The sequence below is a fragment of the Homo sapiens genome, chromosome 3 (genome assembly GCF_000001405.40).
Source record: "Homo sapiens chromosome 3, GRCh38.p14 Primary Assembly".
NCBI classification, from domain to species: Eukaryota; Metazoa; Chordata; class Mammalia; order Primates; family Hominidae; genus Homo; species Homo sapiens.
The window spans coordinates 45,563,727-45,580,025 of record NC_000003.12 but is presented as its reverse complement, the minus strand read 5'-3'; the positions used below and the strand labels follow the sequence as shown (position 1 = coordinate 45,580,025).

Sequence of the window (16,299 nt, the reverse complement as noted above, 5' to 3'; positions counted from 1 at the left end):
CCAAGAGAGCACATGCAAGAAAGAGAGCAGGGAAGGGGGCCTAACTCATCTTTTTATCAGGAACCCAATCCCACAATAACTAACCCACTCTCACAATGACGGCATTAATCCATTCATGAGGACAGAACCTTCATGGCCTAATCGCCTCTTAAAGATCCTGCCTGAACTTTGCAGGACACATTCAAACCCTAGCAATGAACAACTGGAATCAGTGTCAAGAGGGCGTAAGTATGGCAGTTCTAGAACCTGGAGACAAAATTACGAATGAGAGGCAAAGGGTAGAACAGAACAACCACAGCCACTGCACTCTGCTTGGTGCTTTACAAGATCTTCAGTTGGGCATTCGTCATTGACAGCTCTGCACGTTAGGAGCCATCCTCATTTGGCAGAAATGGAAGCTCAGTGAGGTCATGGCACTTACCTAAGGTAGCACAGCCTATTGGTGGGGGATCTGGAAGGCAGACCCAACTCCTTCCAGCACCAAAGACCCTGTTGTTCTCCTTGGCCCTCTAACAACTCCCAGAAGGCGGCCTCAGGAGCTGACTCATAGGGAGCTAAACACCTGATCCCACCTTTGGGACTGGCATGTGGAGACAGGAAGTTGCCACTGTAAACCTACCAAAGGAGCACTGACTACAAAGCCAGGTGACAGCAAGTGTTGTGGAGGATGTGGAGCAAGGAAGGCTCTCCTCCATTGCCAGAACACTTTGGAAATAGTCATTTTGTAGAGCATGCACGTGGACCTCACCCAGCTATTCCACTCCTGCAGCTATCCCCAGAGAAACTCATGCCTTCAGAGACAGGTACAGAATTTTCATAGTAGTACTGAGTGATAGCAGAATCCTGAAATAACCTCAAAGCTTGCTGATGGTGGAGTGATAATAATTATAGTTATAGTTATATATATATAGTTATATATACTAGTTATATAGTTTATTTGACTCATAGTTTGAGGATGGCCACCTAGGAGCATAGATTCAAGTTGCCCTGAATATACACTCTGATTACCAGCAGTTAGAGTTAGGTTTTTAAGGAAAAAAGAAGAGGCCATTCCTAAGATGTTTACCAAGAATTTATATTAAGATAACATAAGCTATTGATTGACTATACATTGTTATTGGTATCACAAATTCCCTTCTTCCCCTCCCTGAAATCTCATTATCTATCTCAGAAAGTAAGACTGAGGAATGCAACCACACATGGATGAGCTTTTTCACAAGATAATGCCTGCCTGTCGGCTCATTCAGATTCCGAAGAGAATCATTTATAAGCTAATTTCTGTCCACTCATTCTCCCTAATAATCATTTGCATTTCCCCATATGGGAAATTGCCTGCATTTCCCATCTCCCCCGTTTCCTATGAATAAGGGTATATAAGCTTCTGTATCCCGTTGGGTTACTGGGTAATCATTCTCCTGTGGTGCCCCCTAGTTATACATGTCAAAATACATTTTGTATTTTCTCCTATTAATCTGCCTTTTGTCAGTTGATTTTTCAGTGAACCTTCAGAGAAGGGGAACTTTTCCCTTGACCCTTATACATGGTTTATGGGAGTGGTACACTATGATTTGTGAAACTAGTCCCTACTGTTGGTTGGTTTCCAATGTTTGGTTACAGTGAACAGTGATGTTTGTAAGTCTTAGCACAATATGCTGTTACTTTATCCCTTGGGAAAATCCTACAGGAACAATGTGGAGTCTGCAGATATGTGCCTCAACTTTAAGACTTTTGATACTACTGCCAAAAACACCTGAATCCTGGGAATAGTGAGCTTTGGTCAGAAGACAAGAAAATTCTGGTCATTGGAACACCTAACCCCTATAACGTTTTTATGTCTTTTATCTTCAGAACACTGTGAGCATTATGAGCCCCATTTCACATATGAACTCAGTTAGTCTCAGAGAGGTTAAGTGGTATAATCACCCAGTGGGTTCTTCCTGCCTGTTGCACAAATGAAACTAGCTCACCGAGACCATGGTATTGCAATAAAGAAAGAGTTTAATTAATGTGAGGCCAGTCACACAAGAGAACTGGAGTTATCACTCAAATCAGTGTCCCTGAAGGCTTGGAGGTTAGGATTTTTGAAGGATAGTTTGGTGGGCGGTGGTCTGGGAAATGGGTGCTGCTGATTGGTTGGGGATGCAATCATAGGGGTGTGGAAAATGGCCATTGTGGGCTGAGTCCACCTCTGGGTCAGGGGAGGCCACAGAACTAGCTACGTCATGAGTCTGTGTAGGGTCAGTTGGTTGCCACAATGCAAAGGTCTGAAAAACATCTCAAAAGACCAACCTTAGGTTCTACAATAGTGGTGTTATCTATAGGAGCAATTGGAGAAGTGACAAATCTTGCTAGGAGTGGTGGCTCATGCTTATAATTCCAAGTGGAAGGGCAACATAGGAAGACCCCATCTCTCTCTCTCTCTCTTTTTTTTTTTTTTTTTTTTTGAGACAATTTCACTGTTGTCACCCAGGCTGGAGTGCAATAGTGTGATCTTGGCTCACTGCAACCTCCGCCTCCCAGGCTCAAGCGATTCTTCTGCCTCAGCCTCCCAAGTGACTGGGATTACAGGTGTGTGCCACTATGCCCAGCTAATTTTTGTATTTTTAGTGGAGATGGGGTTTCACTATGTTGGCCAGGCTGGTCTCGAACTCCTGAGCTCAAGTGATCCACCTGCCTCGATCTATCAAAGTGCTGGGATTATAGGCGTGAGCCACTGCGCCTGGCCTACAAAAATTTTTTTTAAATTAGGTGGATGTGGTGATGCGCAGCTATGGTCCCAGCTACTCAGGAGACTAAGGTGGGAGAATTGCTTGAGCTTGGGAGGTCAAGGCTGCGGTGAGCTGTAATTACACCACTGCACCCCAGCATGGGTGACAGAGTGAGACTCTGCCTCAAAAAATAAATTAATTAATTAAATAAAATAAATAAATAAAATAAAAATCTTGTAACCTCTGGCCACATGGCTTCTGAGCAGTAAAGGATTATAAAAACCATGCCTACATTTTAGCAGAATTCAGGCCCTTCCCAGGATCCTATTTTTGTGGCCTTTCATTCATCTTACAAAGGTGATTGCAGCCCCCAAACAAGAAGAGGCATCAGTTTTAGGGAGGGACAATTATCATCCTTGCTTCAGAGTTAAACTACAAACAAAATTCCTCCTATATTCAGCTTGGCCTACACCCGGGAGTGAGCAACATGCCCAGGGTCACGCTGGATCCAAGCTTGAATTCACACTCAAATCTGTCTGGTTCCAAACAGGTCAGACTAGAGCGGATTTTTGTTGTTGTTGTTGTTTTTTCATAAAGAGGTAGCTCCTGGCCAGGAGCAGTGGCTCACACCTGTAATCCCAGCACTTTGGGAGGCTGACGCAGGCGGAGACTTGAGGCCAGCAGTTCGAGACCAGCGTGGCCAACATGGTAAAAACCCATCTCTACTAGAAATACAAAAAAATTTAGCCAGGCCTAGTGGCACGCACCCGTAGTCCCAGCTGCTTGGGAGGCTGAGCCATGAGACTCGCTTGAACCCGGGAGGTGGAGGTTGCAGTGAGCTGAGATCGTGTCACTGCACTCCAGCCTGGGGAACAGAGCAAGACTCTGTCTCAAAAAAAAAAAAAAAAAAAAAAAGAGAGAGGTAGCTCCCACTATTTAATTATCAATAGGCTGAGTCTTCAAACACTTCCCTTCTATGTTATTTATTATTCTTTTGCTTGCAAATGACAGGAGCCCCTCTCAACCTAGCTTAAGGAAAACGGAAGCTGTTGACAAGTTACGGGCACATGTCATGGTGCACAGGCCAGAAGAGCAGCTGGCACAGGTGTGTGAAGGAAGGTGCTCAGTTGGAGTGTCCCCCAATCCCCGCCACTTTCTCCTCTGCTCATCACAGATGTGCTGTTGGCTTCCCTGGCCGTGGTGACCATCTTGAACTCCTATCCCCTGTTAGAGTCTGGGCTCTCAAAAGATGATTGACTCTCCTTTTTCTGTCCCAAATCCAAATTTCTGGGGAGAAACTCTGGCCCAGCTTGAGCCACGCGATTACTCCCAGCTTAGCACCATTGCCAGGGTGTGGGTTGCCCTGTATTAAAGCAGGTATTTCAAACACCTAAGTAGTCACCACAGCCAGGGAGGGGGAATGCCATGACTCCCAAAGTTTTCTCTGGAAGGGAGAGAACAGGATCTTCCATTGGCCCTCTCAGCTCACAGAAATCGCTTTGAGGGAGAGAAGCACATGTTCTTGAGGGAGAGCTCCACCCTAGAATTTGGTCAGAGAATTGTGTCAATGCCAGAGAACAAGTGTCCTTTAATTGCTCAGCCAATTCTTTATGTTGCTAATAGGGCGGCCCATGAGCAGATGCACTTCAGCCTAGGAAAACAATCACATTCTTGGTTATAAGCAGCCTTCCCCCACCACAGACACATTCTTGTGGTCTAGAAGGAGGAGACTGAGAAAAGGGGGAGCTAACAGGTCTGCAAATATAGTCGCGAGAATTTTCAGGGAGCCTGTTAAGGGGTATCATTTGAAGGAGATCTGAAGGTTGAGAAATACCATCGTCTCAGGTGGGGAGGGGCATTCCTGCAGAGGAATGTGGGCAAGCAGGGCCTGAGTAGCTGGAGTGGGAAGGGCACTGGGTGAAGGGATGCTGAGCTGGGTAGGGGCTGGGGGAGTTGGGGTCTCACGGCCCATTACTGGGTTTGCTCATGGGGATTGGTAAGAAAGTGTGACATAACCTGCACTAAGCTCTGAAAAGATGACCACAGCCGCCATGTTAAGAATGGACTTAGGGACAGGGTTAGCTGCCAATGGGAGAAGATGGGTGCTACATCTTTTTGTTTGTTTTTTGGAGACAGAGTCTCACTCTGTCACCCAGGCTGGAGTGCAGTGCTGCGATCTCGGCTCACTGCAACCTCCACCTCCCAGGCTCAAGGGATTCTCATGCCTCAGCCTCCCAAGTAGCTGAGATTACAGGCATGTGCTGCCACACCTGGCTAATTTTTTGTACTTTTAGTAGAGACGGTGTTTTTCTATGTTGGCCAGGCTGGTCTCGAACTCCTGGCCTCAAGCAATGTGCCAGCCTCAGCCTCCCAAAGTGTTGGGATTACAGGTGTGAGTCACCACGCCCAGCCATGATGTCTTTTTTCTGACATCAAATTTGTGGTTTTTCCACACCAAGCCGTTCTCGAATTCTCTGACATCATCTGGGTGTTGTCAACTGAAAAATCATGAAATCTATACATTTGGAGAGGAGACTTTATTTCTGATAGAGGGTTACAGCCTGCAGGCTGGCCATTCCCAGGCTGGGAAGCATAGCCGCCGGCAGAGCCCAAAAGGCAGGCACTTTGAAGGAGAACGGGTTGGAACAGGGGTTTATGCCAGATGGTTGGCCAAGTACACACATTCAACAGGTTATAGGAGGGGCTATGAATATGCATGAAGGGGGTCCTGATGCATGCCTATTTAACAAACATGCCTGTATCATATAACCCAGGTTCACTTTGGGGTGGAGACTTAACATTCAAATGCATTACAATTAAGCCCTATATGTCAGAAGGTGAGGAAGAGACATGAAGGCACCCCAGTGCGCAGCCTCTGTCAAACCCAGCCAGAACTAGCCCATGGTCAGTGGTCTCTTATCAGGAGAATTGTATAGAAATCAGTCTTCTGTCCTATCAAGGCTGTAGTGTGGCTTGTAGAATGGGGAATCAGACAGCCAGCGTCTGTGGGATGAACCGCAATTGTTTCAGTATTGCTTATCTCAAGGCCAGTGCTTGTTTAGGGGCTAGAGAAAAAGAAAAACCTTGTGGCAGTTGGAACATAGTTTATTCTTTAAGTGTAGGGTGTGTGACCTCACCCTTGCCTGGCGCACCGTTAGGTCTTGTTTGTAATTTGGTATCTTATTGCCACAAAGAGTCCGTTCTGTTAGTCTTAGGATCTCTGTTTTCACATTAACGCTGGTGAGTTGTGTCTAAACTGTGAAAGGGAGGGAGTATACTGAGGCGAGTTTGACCTCCTGTCCCGTCATGCCTGAGAATTCAGTTTTTAAGGTTTCCCTGGGGTCCCCTTGGCCAAGAGGAGGTCCATTCAGTTAGGTGGGGGGTTTAAGGTTTTCTTTTTAGTTCTCACTCTCCAAACAATTCAACACTTCTGACACTAACCGGAGTTAGCACAGATGCCAGGCTAAGGGCTCAGTCCCACAAGATTGCCCCACTTCTGACTCAGCCAAAAAGTCCCAGGTCCCAGTCTACCTGTACCTCTGTCCAACTTGGCTACCAATTTGAGGGTTCCCATGACCCCCTCCTCAGGTTCAGTACTTGGCTAGAATGACTCACAGAACTCAGGCAAATGCTTTACTTACATTGACTGGTTTATTATAAAGGATCCAACCAGGAATAGCCAGATGGAAGAGATGCACAGGGCAAGATGTATTAGTCTGTTTTCACACTGCTGATAAAGACATACCCAAGACTAGGGAATTTATAAAGAAAAAGAGGTTTAATGAACTCACAGTTCCACATGGCTGCAGAGGCCTCTCAATCATGGTGGAAGGTGAAAGGCACGTCTTACATGGCGGCAGACAAGGGAGAATGAGAGCCAAGCAAGAGGCGTTTCCCTTTATAAAACCATCAGATCTTCTGAGACTTATTCACTACCATGAGAACAGTATGGGGGAAGCTGCCCCATGATTCAATTATCTCCCATTCTGTCCCTCCCACAACATGTGGGTATTACAGGAACTACAATTCAAGATGAGATTTGGGTGCGGACACAGCCAAACCATATCACAAGGTGTGGGGGTGGGCAGCATGGAGCTTCCTTGCCCTCTCCAGGTGCACTGCCCTCCCAGCATATGGACATGGTCACCAACCTAGAAACTCTGTGAATCCCAGTCTTTAGGGCTTTTTATGGAGGTTTCATTATTGCAGGCATGATTGATCAAATTCCTGACCATTGGCCATTGAACTCAATATTCAGAACCTCTTCCATGTAGGTCAGGGGCTGGGCTGACAGTTCCAACACTTTAATCACTCCTGTCTTTCTGGCACCAGCCCCCAACCTGAAGCTATCTAGGCACCCGCTTCCCTGCAGGAGTCATCTCATTAGCATAAACTCAAGTACGGTTGAAAGGGGCTTGCTATAAATAACAAAACACAGTCCTATTATTAGCAGCTGGGAATCCATAGAGATCAGCAGCTACCTCAATTCTTGCCTCCTCAGAAGGAAGAATCCGATGGAGGGGCATAAGGCAGAGTGAGAGACTGAGGCAAGTTTTAGAGTAAGAGTGAAAGTTTAAATAGGAATGAAAGGAAGTAAAGTACAGTTGTAAGAGGGTCAAGCAGGCAACTTGAGAGAGTCAAGTGTGTGGTTTGAACTTTGACTTGGGGTCTTATAGGTTGGCGTGCTTCCAGGGTTGCATTGCTTCTCCCCCAACTCTTCCCTTGGGGTGGGCTACCCAAGTGTGCAGCTGCCTGCGGCACTTGGGAGGGGCCACATGCGCAATGTGTTTACTGAAGTTGTGTAGATGCTCATTTTTCCCTTACCAGTCGAGTGTTCATAGAGGAAGGTCACATACCAGTTAAACTCTGCCATTTTGCCTATTAGTGCACATGCTTGAGCCCACTCACCCAACTCCTGAGATCTTACTGGGAAGCTGCTGATCACCAGCTTTAGATGTTTTCTATCTACCGGGAGACGGCCTTTCCCTGGTGCTGGCTGTGACCAATTATTATTTCAGAGAGATAGTTTAACAACTTCCTGACCATCACCTGATGATTGCCTGACATTCCTGTTGCCCGGGAGCCCTCTCCTGTCCTGCTCGTATCTGGCTAACTATCTACTCTAACACGATCACAGGAAATTCCAGAGGGTTTTGGAGCTCTGGGAGCTGTGTGCCAGAAATCTGGGGCAAAGGTGAAATACATATTTGCTATTATACCACACCTGAAGTGTTCAGAAGGCAGTTATAGCACAGGTGAGGTGATGGGGGCTGATGTCAGGGAGGTGACACTGGAGCCAGAAAGCACTGGAGGGACTGACGAACTCAAGAGAGCTCTGGGTAGTGGAACAGACTGAGATTGTGGGTAGAGATACAGGAAATGATATAGAAAAGGGGAGAATTGCTAAGTTTCTGGTTTGAGCATCTGGGAGAGTTGAGTGAGAGTTGGCCATTTATTGAAATGGGACAGATTTGGGGAGAAACATGTTGGAGAGAAAAAAAAAAGAGGAGAGGTGAAGAAATCCACTGAGTGTTCTGAAAGTCAGCGTAACCTCCCCACATGTTCTTCTTGCCTGCTGCCCAGGTAGAACTGATTAATCAAGACAGAGATTGTAATAGATAAAGAGTTTAATACACATAGAGCCAGCTAAATGGGAAGCCAGAGTTTTATTATTACTCAAATCAGCCTCCCTGAAAATTCAGAGGCTAGGGCTTTTTAAAGAAAGTTTGGTGGGTGGGGGGCTAGGGAATGAGAAATGCTGACTGGTTGGGTCAGGATGAAATCATAGAGGGCTGAAATGGGCTCTTCTTGCTGTCTTCTATTCCTGAGTGGGATTGCAGAACTAGTTGAGCCAGATTACCTGTCTGGGTGGTGTCAGCTGGTCCATCAGAACATAGGATCTGAAAAATACCTCAAATATCAATCTTAGGTTTGATAATAGTAATATTATCTACAGGAGCAATTGGGGAGGTTAGTGATCTTGTGGCCTCTGGCTGCATGACTCCTGGGTCATACTTTCTAATCATGTTGTAGCAGGACAAGCTGCAGACAAAACCCCTCTGACACCAAGTTAAAGAAGGAAGGGCTTTATTCGGCCAGGAGCTTTGGCAAGACTCAAATCTCCAACAACCGAGCTCCCCGAGTGAGCAATTCCTGTTCCTCTTAAGGGCTTACAACTCTAAGGGGGTCCACATGAGAGGGTCATGATCGATTAAGCAAGCAGGGGGTACGTGACTGGGGGCTGCATGCACCACTAATTAGAATGGAACAGAACAGGACAGGGATTTTCACAGTGCTTTTCCATACAATGTCTGGAATCTATAGATAACATAACCGACTAGGTCAGGGGTCAATCTTTAACTACTAGGCCCAGGGTGTGGTGCTGGGCTGTCTGCTTGTGGATTTCATTTCTGCCTTTTAGTTTTTACTTCTTCTTTCTTTGGAGGCAGAAATTGGGCGTAAGACAATATGAGGGGTGGTCTCCTCCCTTAATGTGGCCAATTTGGTTTTGTTTGTTTTTTTTTGAAATGGAGTCTCACTCCATCACCCAGGCTGGAATGCAATGGTGTGATCTTGGCTCACTGCAACCTCCGCCTCCTAGGTTCAAGCAATTCTCCTGCCTCAGCCTCCTGAGTAGCTGGGATTACAGGCACCCGCCACCACGCCCAGCTAATTTTTTTGTATTTTTAGTAGAGACTGGGTTTCACTGTGTTAGCCAGGATGGTCTTGATCTCCTGACCTCGTGATCTGCCCACCTTGGCCTCCCAAAGTGCTGGGATTACAGGTGTGAGCCACCATGCCCGGCCTCCAATTTGTTACTTTTACAAAGGTAGTCTGGTCCCCAAGCAAGGAGGGAGTTTGTTTCGGGGAGAGCTGTTATCATTTTTGTTTCAAAGTTAAACTATAGACCCGGTATGGTGGCTCACACCTGTATATCTTGACATTTTGATAGGTTGAGGCAGAAGGATCACTTGAAGCCAGGAGTTTGAGACCAGCCTGAGCAGCGTAATGAGATCTTGTCTCTACAAAATTTAAAAAAAAAAAAAATTACCCAGGAGTGGGCCAGGCATGGTGGCTCACACCTGTAATCCCAGCACTTTGGCAGGCTGAGGTGGGCAGATCACTTGAGGTCAGGAGTTCAAGACCAGTCTGGCCAACATGGTGAAACCCCGTCTCTACTAAAAATACAAAATTAGCCAGGCGTGGTGGCATGCGCCTGTAATCCTAGCTACTTGGGAGGCTGAGACATGAGAATTGCTTGAACCCGGGACACAGAGGTTGCAGTGAGCTGAGATCATGCCACTGCACTCCAGCCTGGGTGACAGAGCAAGACCCTGTCTCAAAAAAAAAAAAAAAAAAAAAAAAGGCAGGGCACAGTGGCTCACACCTGTAACCCCAGGAGTTTGGGAGGCTGAGGCGGGCGGATCACCTGAGGTCAAGAGTTTGAGATCAGCCTGGCCAACATGGCAAAACCCCATCTCTACTAAAAATACAAAAATTAGCCAGGCGTGGTTGTGCATGCCTGTAATTCCAGCTACTTGGGAGGCTGAGGCAGGAGAATTGCTTGAACCCAGGAGGCGGAGGTTGCAGTGAGGCAAGAATGCACCACTGCACTCCAGCCTAGGTGACAGAGCGAGACTCCCTCTGAAAAAAAAGAAAGAAAAAAAAAATTAGCCAGGAGTGGTGGTGTATGCCTGTAGTTCCAGCTACTTGGCAGGCTGAGGTGGGAGGATCACTTGAGCTCAGGAGTTCAGGGCTGCAGTGAGCTATATGATTGTGCCACTGCACCCCAGCCTGGGTAACAGAGCAAGACCTTTTCTCTTAAAAAAAAAAAAAATAGTTAAACTATAAACTAAATTCCTCCCAAAGTTAGTTTGGCCTATGCCCAGGAATGAACAAGGGTAGCATGAAGGTTCGAAGCAAGATAGAGTCAGGTCAGATTTCTTTCACTTTCAAAATTTCCTTATGCCAGATTTTTCTCAATGTTGTAATTTTTACAAAGGCATTTTCATCAGTGGATGTGAAATTTGGTGCCATTGGTGTTTGATATCATGGGCCTGAGTAAGCTCATCTGGGCAGAGGGTATAGAGAAGAATGAGAAGAATAGAGGGTCCAGGACCAAGCCCCCAAGAATTCAAAGAGAGGAAAGAGCCAGAAAATGAGGCTGAGACAGCGCGGCCAGGAGGCAGGAGAAGAGAAAGAAGAGTGTGTCTGTAGAATTAAGACGAGGGTTGAAAGTGTCATTGGCTTTGCAATACGAAGGTCGTTGGTGACCTTGAATGGGCTAGTTTCAGTGGTGAGAGGGCACAACTTCCCCTAGTTTCATGATATTAGTGGTTGGATCTATTTTTTTTGAGTAATAAATAAGTGGATTGGAGCTGGTGGCTATTATTCTTAGCAAACTAATGTAGGAACACAAAACCAAATACTGCATGTTCTCACCTACACATAGGAGCTAAATGGTAGGAACTTATGGACACAAAGAAGGCAACAACAGACACTGGGGCCTGCTTGAGGGTGGAGGGAGGGAGGAGGGAGAGGAGCAGAAAAGATAACTATTGGGTACTGGGCTTAATAGCTGCGTGATGAAGGCCGGGCGCGGTGGCTTATGCCTGTAATCCCAGCACTTTGGGAGGCCAAGGCGGGCAGATCACGAGGTCAGGAGATCGAGACCATCCTGGCTAACACGGTGAAACCCCGTCTCTACTAAAAATACAAAAAATTAGCCGGGCGTGGTGTCAGGCGCCTGCAGTCCCAGCTACTCCGGAGGCTGAGGCAGGAGAATGGCGTGAACCCGGGAGGCGGAGCTTGCAGTGAGCGGAGATCGCGCCACTGCACTCCAGCCTGGGCGACAGAGCAAGACTCCGTCTCAAAAAAAAAAAAGGACTATGGACACAAAGAAGGGAACAACAGACACTGGGGCGTGCTTGAGGGTGGAGGGTGGGAGGAGGGAGAGGAGCAGAAAAAATATTGGGTACTGGGCTTAATAGCTGGGTGATGAAACAATCTGTACAACAGACCCTTGTGACACATGCTTACCTATGTAACAAACCTTCACATGTACCCCTAAATCTAAAATAAAAAAATGGGTGACTCCAGAAGGCCAGAGGACTTGGGGACATTTGAGGTGCATGTGTAAGGCAACATCAAAAAGAAAAAGCCCCTGTGACATTTTCATTAATCCACATGGTTGGGATGTGAGCTACAAAAGAGGCTCCTCACAGCTTGAGGGCAGGCTCGGGAAAACCCTAGAAGCGGCTAGAGAAACTGAACTGAGGATGTGGCTGTGAAGTTCCCCATCTGCTCCTGGGGAGGAGAATTGACCCACCTCTTGGAGATGGTGAGCCCTACAGACAGGAAGGAAGAGTGCCCTGTTTATTTTTGTCTGCCTGATTTCACATCTGCTGACGTCTTCCCGCCCTTTCCCGCCCACTCTGCTCCCCATCTTTAAATCTTAACCACTTAGGAGATAAAAACACAGCCCCGAGGCCACAGCTGTGTGATATACCAGGTCAATTGGCACAACCAATCTACTGGGGAACTGAAGCAGGTGATGTTCAGACGGAACATGGAGAGAACCGAGTGAGCATCTCTCCTGGGCTTTGGGGCCTCGGAGGAGCAAGTCACCAGGCCTGGAGACTGAATATCAGACTTACATGTTCACCATCCTGTCTTCTTGGAAAAATGGATTTTAAATCTAAATCTTGCCACTGAGCAGGGCCAGACTGGGAATCGAAGGTGCTGGCACAGACTGGCAACTGGCATGGTGTTTGATTCTTTTGCAAAATGCTCACAACCCTCTAAGTCCATTTAAAAAACAAAAACAAACAAACAAACAAAAAACCCAAAACATGGAAAAGATTCGCTCTGTGCCTACCAGGAACTGTGAATGGACCACAAGGCATCACAGACGTCCACAGGGTACCCATCATGTCTGAGGGCTGTTTGGAGCCACTGTTTTTTTCCCTTGTTAAAATAAATGGGCTTTTGTGTTGGAAATGATTTCACGGTTTGATTTCCTCTGAGGACATGCAACCCCTATTGACATGAAAGTGCCTCACAGATCCTCCCTCTGCTGTGGAGCTGGTTGTCCTGGGTGACCTTCCCTTGAGGCCTGCAGGGAGGCCTGTGTGGGGATGGCTGTTTCCCTCCCACAGTCTCACCACCTTGGGAACTGACTTTGCTGGGACTGGCTAGGCGCCGAGCTGGTGGCAGGCTGTGGAGAGGACTGGGCCACAGCCCTCTTAGCCCACTGCCAGGCCCTCCAACCTTCCACTGTGGGAGCGTGATTGCCAGAGACCCCAGACACTGTGCTCGGGACCCGCCACCCCATCTGTGCCAAGGCTATGCCTCCCACAGGCTGCTCCCAGCCTATGGCTGAGCAAGGCAGGGATACTCGGGCAGGCCTATTCCTGAGAGATGTGGGGCTCCACTGACAGATGACTCTGACCCAAGGACTCCCTTAAACAGCTGTCTAAGACCTCCCTTACTTCTCTCCTTCACAGGGGTCAGACTGCGTCAAAATCTGATGGTTCTCCCAATGCCCCCATCTTGCTCTCTGTTCTCCTGCACAGGCATTTTCTCCAATACATCTCTTGCGTGTCATATCCCATCTTGGTATCTGCTTCTCAGAGAACCTGAATGAACACACCTGGAGCTTCCAGTAATTTATGGAAGACAGCAGCAAAAAGCCCCTGTGTCTGCTGCCTGGAGGGCAAAGGCGGCCTTATGCATAGTTTCATGGAGATGGTTGTAAATGATTCGGGACAGCTTGTGTTCTCCTGAGAGGTGTGCACTGCGCCCCGTACCCTTGTGTGGCCTGCTGGAGGATACGGACACAGAGGCCCAGCTTATGTTTGGGGCTGTCTTACTTAATCCATGTCCACTCAAGTAACTGAGTGTCCCCATTACTGGTGTCTCCATAAGCCAGTGATTCCCACGGTCAAGTGCAGACTACATCTTACTTCACACTGAAAAATGTAAAGGGCACTGGGGTGTGGTCAACAGTTCCTCCTCCTGTTTGTCAGGGGATGTGACACTTGTTGGCCCTCACCAGGGATTCTGGGTGTTTTGAGATTACAGAATAGAGAAGGAGAGAGGAAGGAGGGCTGTGGGGCAGAAGAAGGTGGTGTAATGGTCATCTAGAGAATCATTTACAAAATAGTGTCTGCCTCCTGTGTCCACACGTCTCTCCCTATGAAGAGAGTATTAAACCCTCAACCACCTGGCCCCTCTTCAAGTCTTAAACTTTGGGCACAGCTCCCATGTTCGTATGAGTGTTAACAGATTTTGCACACCATTCTCTCCTGTTAATCTGCCTTTTGTCAGTTCATTACCTTAGGTGAGGAGAGGAAGTTTTTCCTCTACCCTTACACTATATTAAGGAACAGACCCACACCTGGGAGAGTGAAGGCTTCCCCTACAGCTAGAAACATCTGAATTCCCATGGTGCAGTCCAGGAAAGAAATTCTCAGCACCTCTGGCCTTGAATAAGGCCTCACTATTCCTTCTTCAGTAAATGGAATTACTTGGGTCTCCATTTTTACGCTTGTGTGCCTCTCATCTCTTTACTTGATAATAGTCATTCATTCACTCTCTCACTGTTTATTCAACCCATGTTCATTGCAGTCAATATTTTGAACCTGCAAATGGAGCATCACCTTTGAATAAATCCAGAATCCTTAATGTGGCTAAGCTGGCTCTGGTCCTTCTCTTCATGGTCCCCCACCTTCATTTGCTGTGCCCTGGTCACATTTGCCTTTCACTTCCTCAAAGACACTTAGAACTTTCCTGCCACTTAGCATTTACATATATGCCACCCCTTCTGCTGGGACTGCCCTACCTCCTAATTTTCAGTTGACTGACTCTCATCATCCTCTGAAGCCAAAGATTTCCATCTGTCCCCTTAGTCCTCATCATTTGCCCCCACATAGAAGCCAGTATCTCACCATTTCACATGGGCATCATCTTGCTGTATCTGCTTCTGTCTTCCATGCCAGGAGAAACCACTCCCCAGGATCCATTATTCAGACATGAGGACTATCTTTTTTTCCTACAGAATGGGTTGCCCATCCACCCTCATTTTCATCACATACAGCTTATGACTCTGGCATGCATACAGATTTTATGTTAGAAACAAGCTTACAAAGTGACACTGGATAGGTGCCAGTGTGCCACTGGCCAGTGAGGAAGGCTGTCTCTGGGTCACCTCCTGCTCACCTCTACCTTTATCCAGGCCTCTATGATGGGAAGCCAATGCCTACAGCTTCTTTTCTTCCTTAAGGGAGTTCCATAGTTCCACCTAGATATGCATAGATTACTCCAAATATGCTTCTCCCCCGCGTAACAACCATCCTCAAAACTTGCAGAGCAAGGTTAATGTTGGTTCCCATGCCTTCAATCACTTTGCTGTCTCCTTTTCATAACTGCTTAACAGAGCCACAACCATCAGATGGGCTGGACATACTGGTAGGGCCTTCTCTACTCTGGGATCAACTACAGGCCCAGTGCAAAACCCTGTTCTAAGTGCTTTGGTGACCCGCCACCCCTCTGTTAACATATTCCTTCTCCAGGAATTTGTTCATTCAACAAACATTTATTGTGTTTGCTTTTGACCCAACTCATAACCACTATGCATCAATGGGAAACACAGATGGATGAGGCACAGTCCCTGTTATCAAGAAGCATACATGGTGTGGGGGGAGGCAGGGAGCAGGAGAGAATCCAAACCATCCCAAAGCAATGTGGCCAAAGCATGAAGAAGGAAAGACCCCTCACATAATCTGGAGGTTCCCTCCAGGAAGCCTCATAAGATGATGGTGGTTGGCTTGGTAAAGAAGAGTGTCCTGCAGAAACCCAGCAGACTTCTTGGGGATGCCATTCAGTGTTGCCAAATCTCCTTAGCACCTGTTCAGAGACCATCTCTGCTGGAGGGGGTGGCCTGAAACCACACTCAAGAGTTGAAACTAAGTGAACTGAAATTACCAAGGCTGCATCTCAGTGTTCACAGAATGCAGCTCTTGAACAGATGGGCCCCTCTCTCTAGCTTCCTGAAAGATGATAGTTCTTTCTGGGGGGAATATTATGCACCTCATTCTCTCCTGTGCTTTTATATCTATCTCTGGCATACACTGAAAAAATGATAAGACATGTGAAAGACAATGTAATCCTTCATCAGACAAAAAGAAATTATCAACAAAAGCAGACCCACAGATAACCCAGATGCTGGGATTAGCTAACAAGGATTTAAGATAACTATTTAAATATGTTAAAGAATTTATGTAAAAAGATAGGCAAACATAGGAAAATATGAAGTATTTGACAGAGAAATAAAACTTTAAAAAAAGGAAATGTTTGAATTAAAATATACAGTATAAATGAAGAATTCATTTATAAATTTAATAATAGAGTCCACACAGAAGAAGAAAGAATTAGAGAATTCAAAACACATGCCAGTAAATATACAATTATCCTGTGACCTAGGAATTGCATTCTTGGGCAGTGTTTTAGTCCATTTTCTATTGCTTGTAACAGAATACCTGAAACTGGGTAATTTATTAAGAAAGGGAATTTATTTTTTACAGTTATGTAG

The 16,299-nt window shown here is 46.6% G+C and overlaps 2 annotated features.

The window, feature by feature from the left end:
• Positions 12,395 to 12,921: an enhancer, noted in NCBI's record as "H3K4me1 hESC enhancer chr3:45608597-45609123 (GRCh37/hg19 assembly coordinates)". NCBI's record gives its function as "activates a minimal SCP1, AML or CMV promoter by ChIP-STARR-seq in naive H9 embryonic stem cells {active_cell/tissue: H9 hESC(naive)}" and the evidence as "EXISTENCE:reporter gene assay evidence [ECO:0000049][PMID:30033119]".
• Positions 15,346 to 15,605: an enhancer, noted in NCBI's record as "active region_19778". NCBI's record gives its function as "activates an Ori minimal core promoter by ATAC-STARR-seq in GM12878 lymphoblastoid cells {active_cell/tissue: GM12878}" and the evidence as "EXISTENCE:reporter gene assay evidence [ECO:0000049][PMID:35858748]".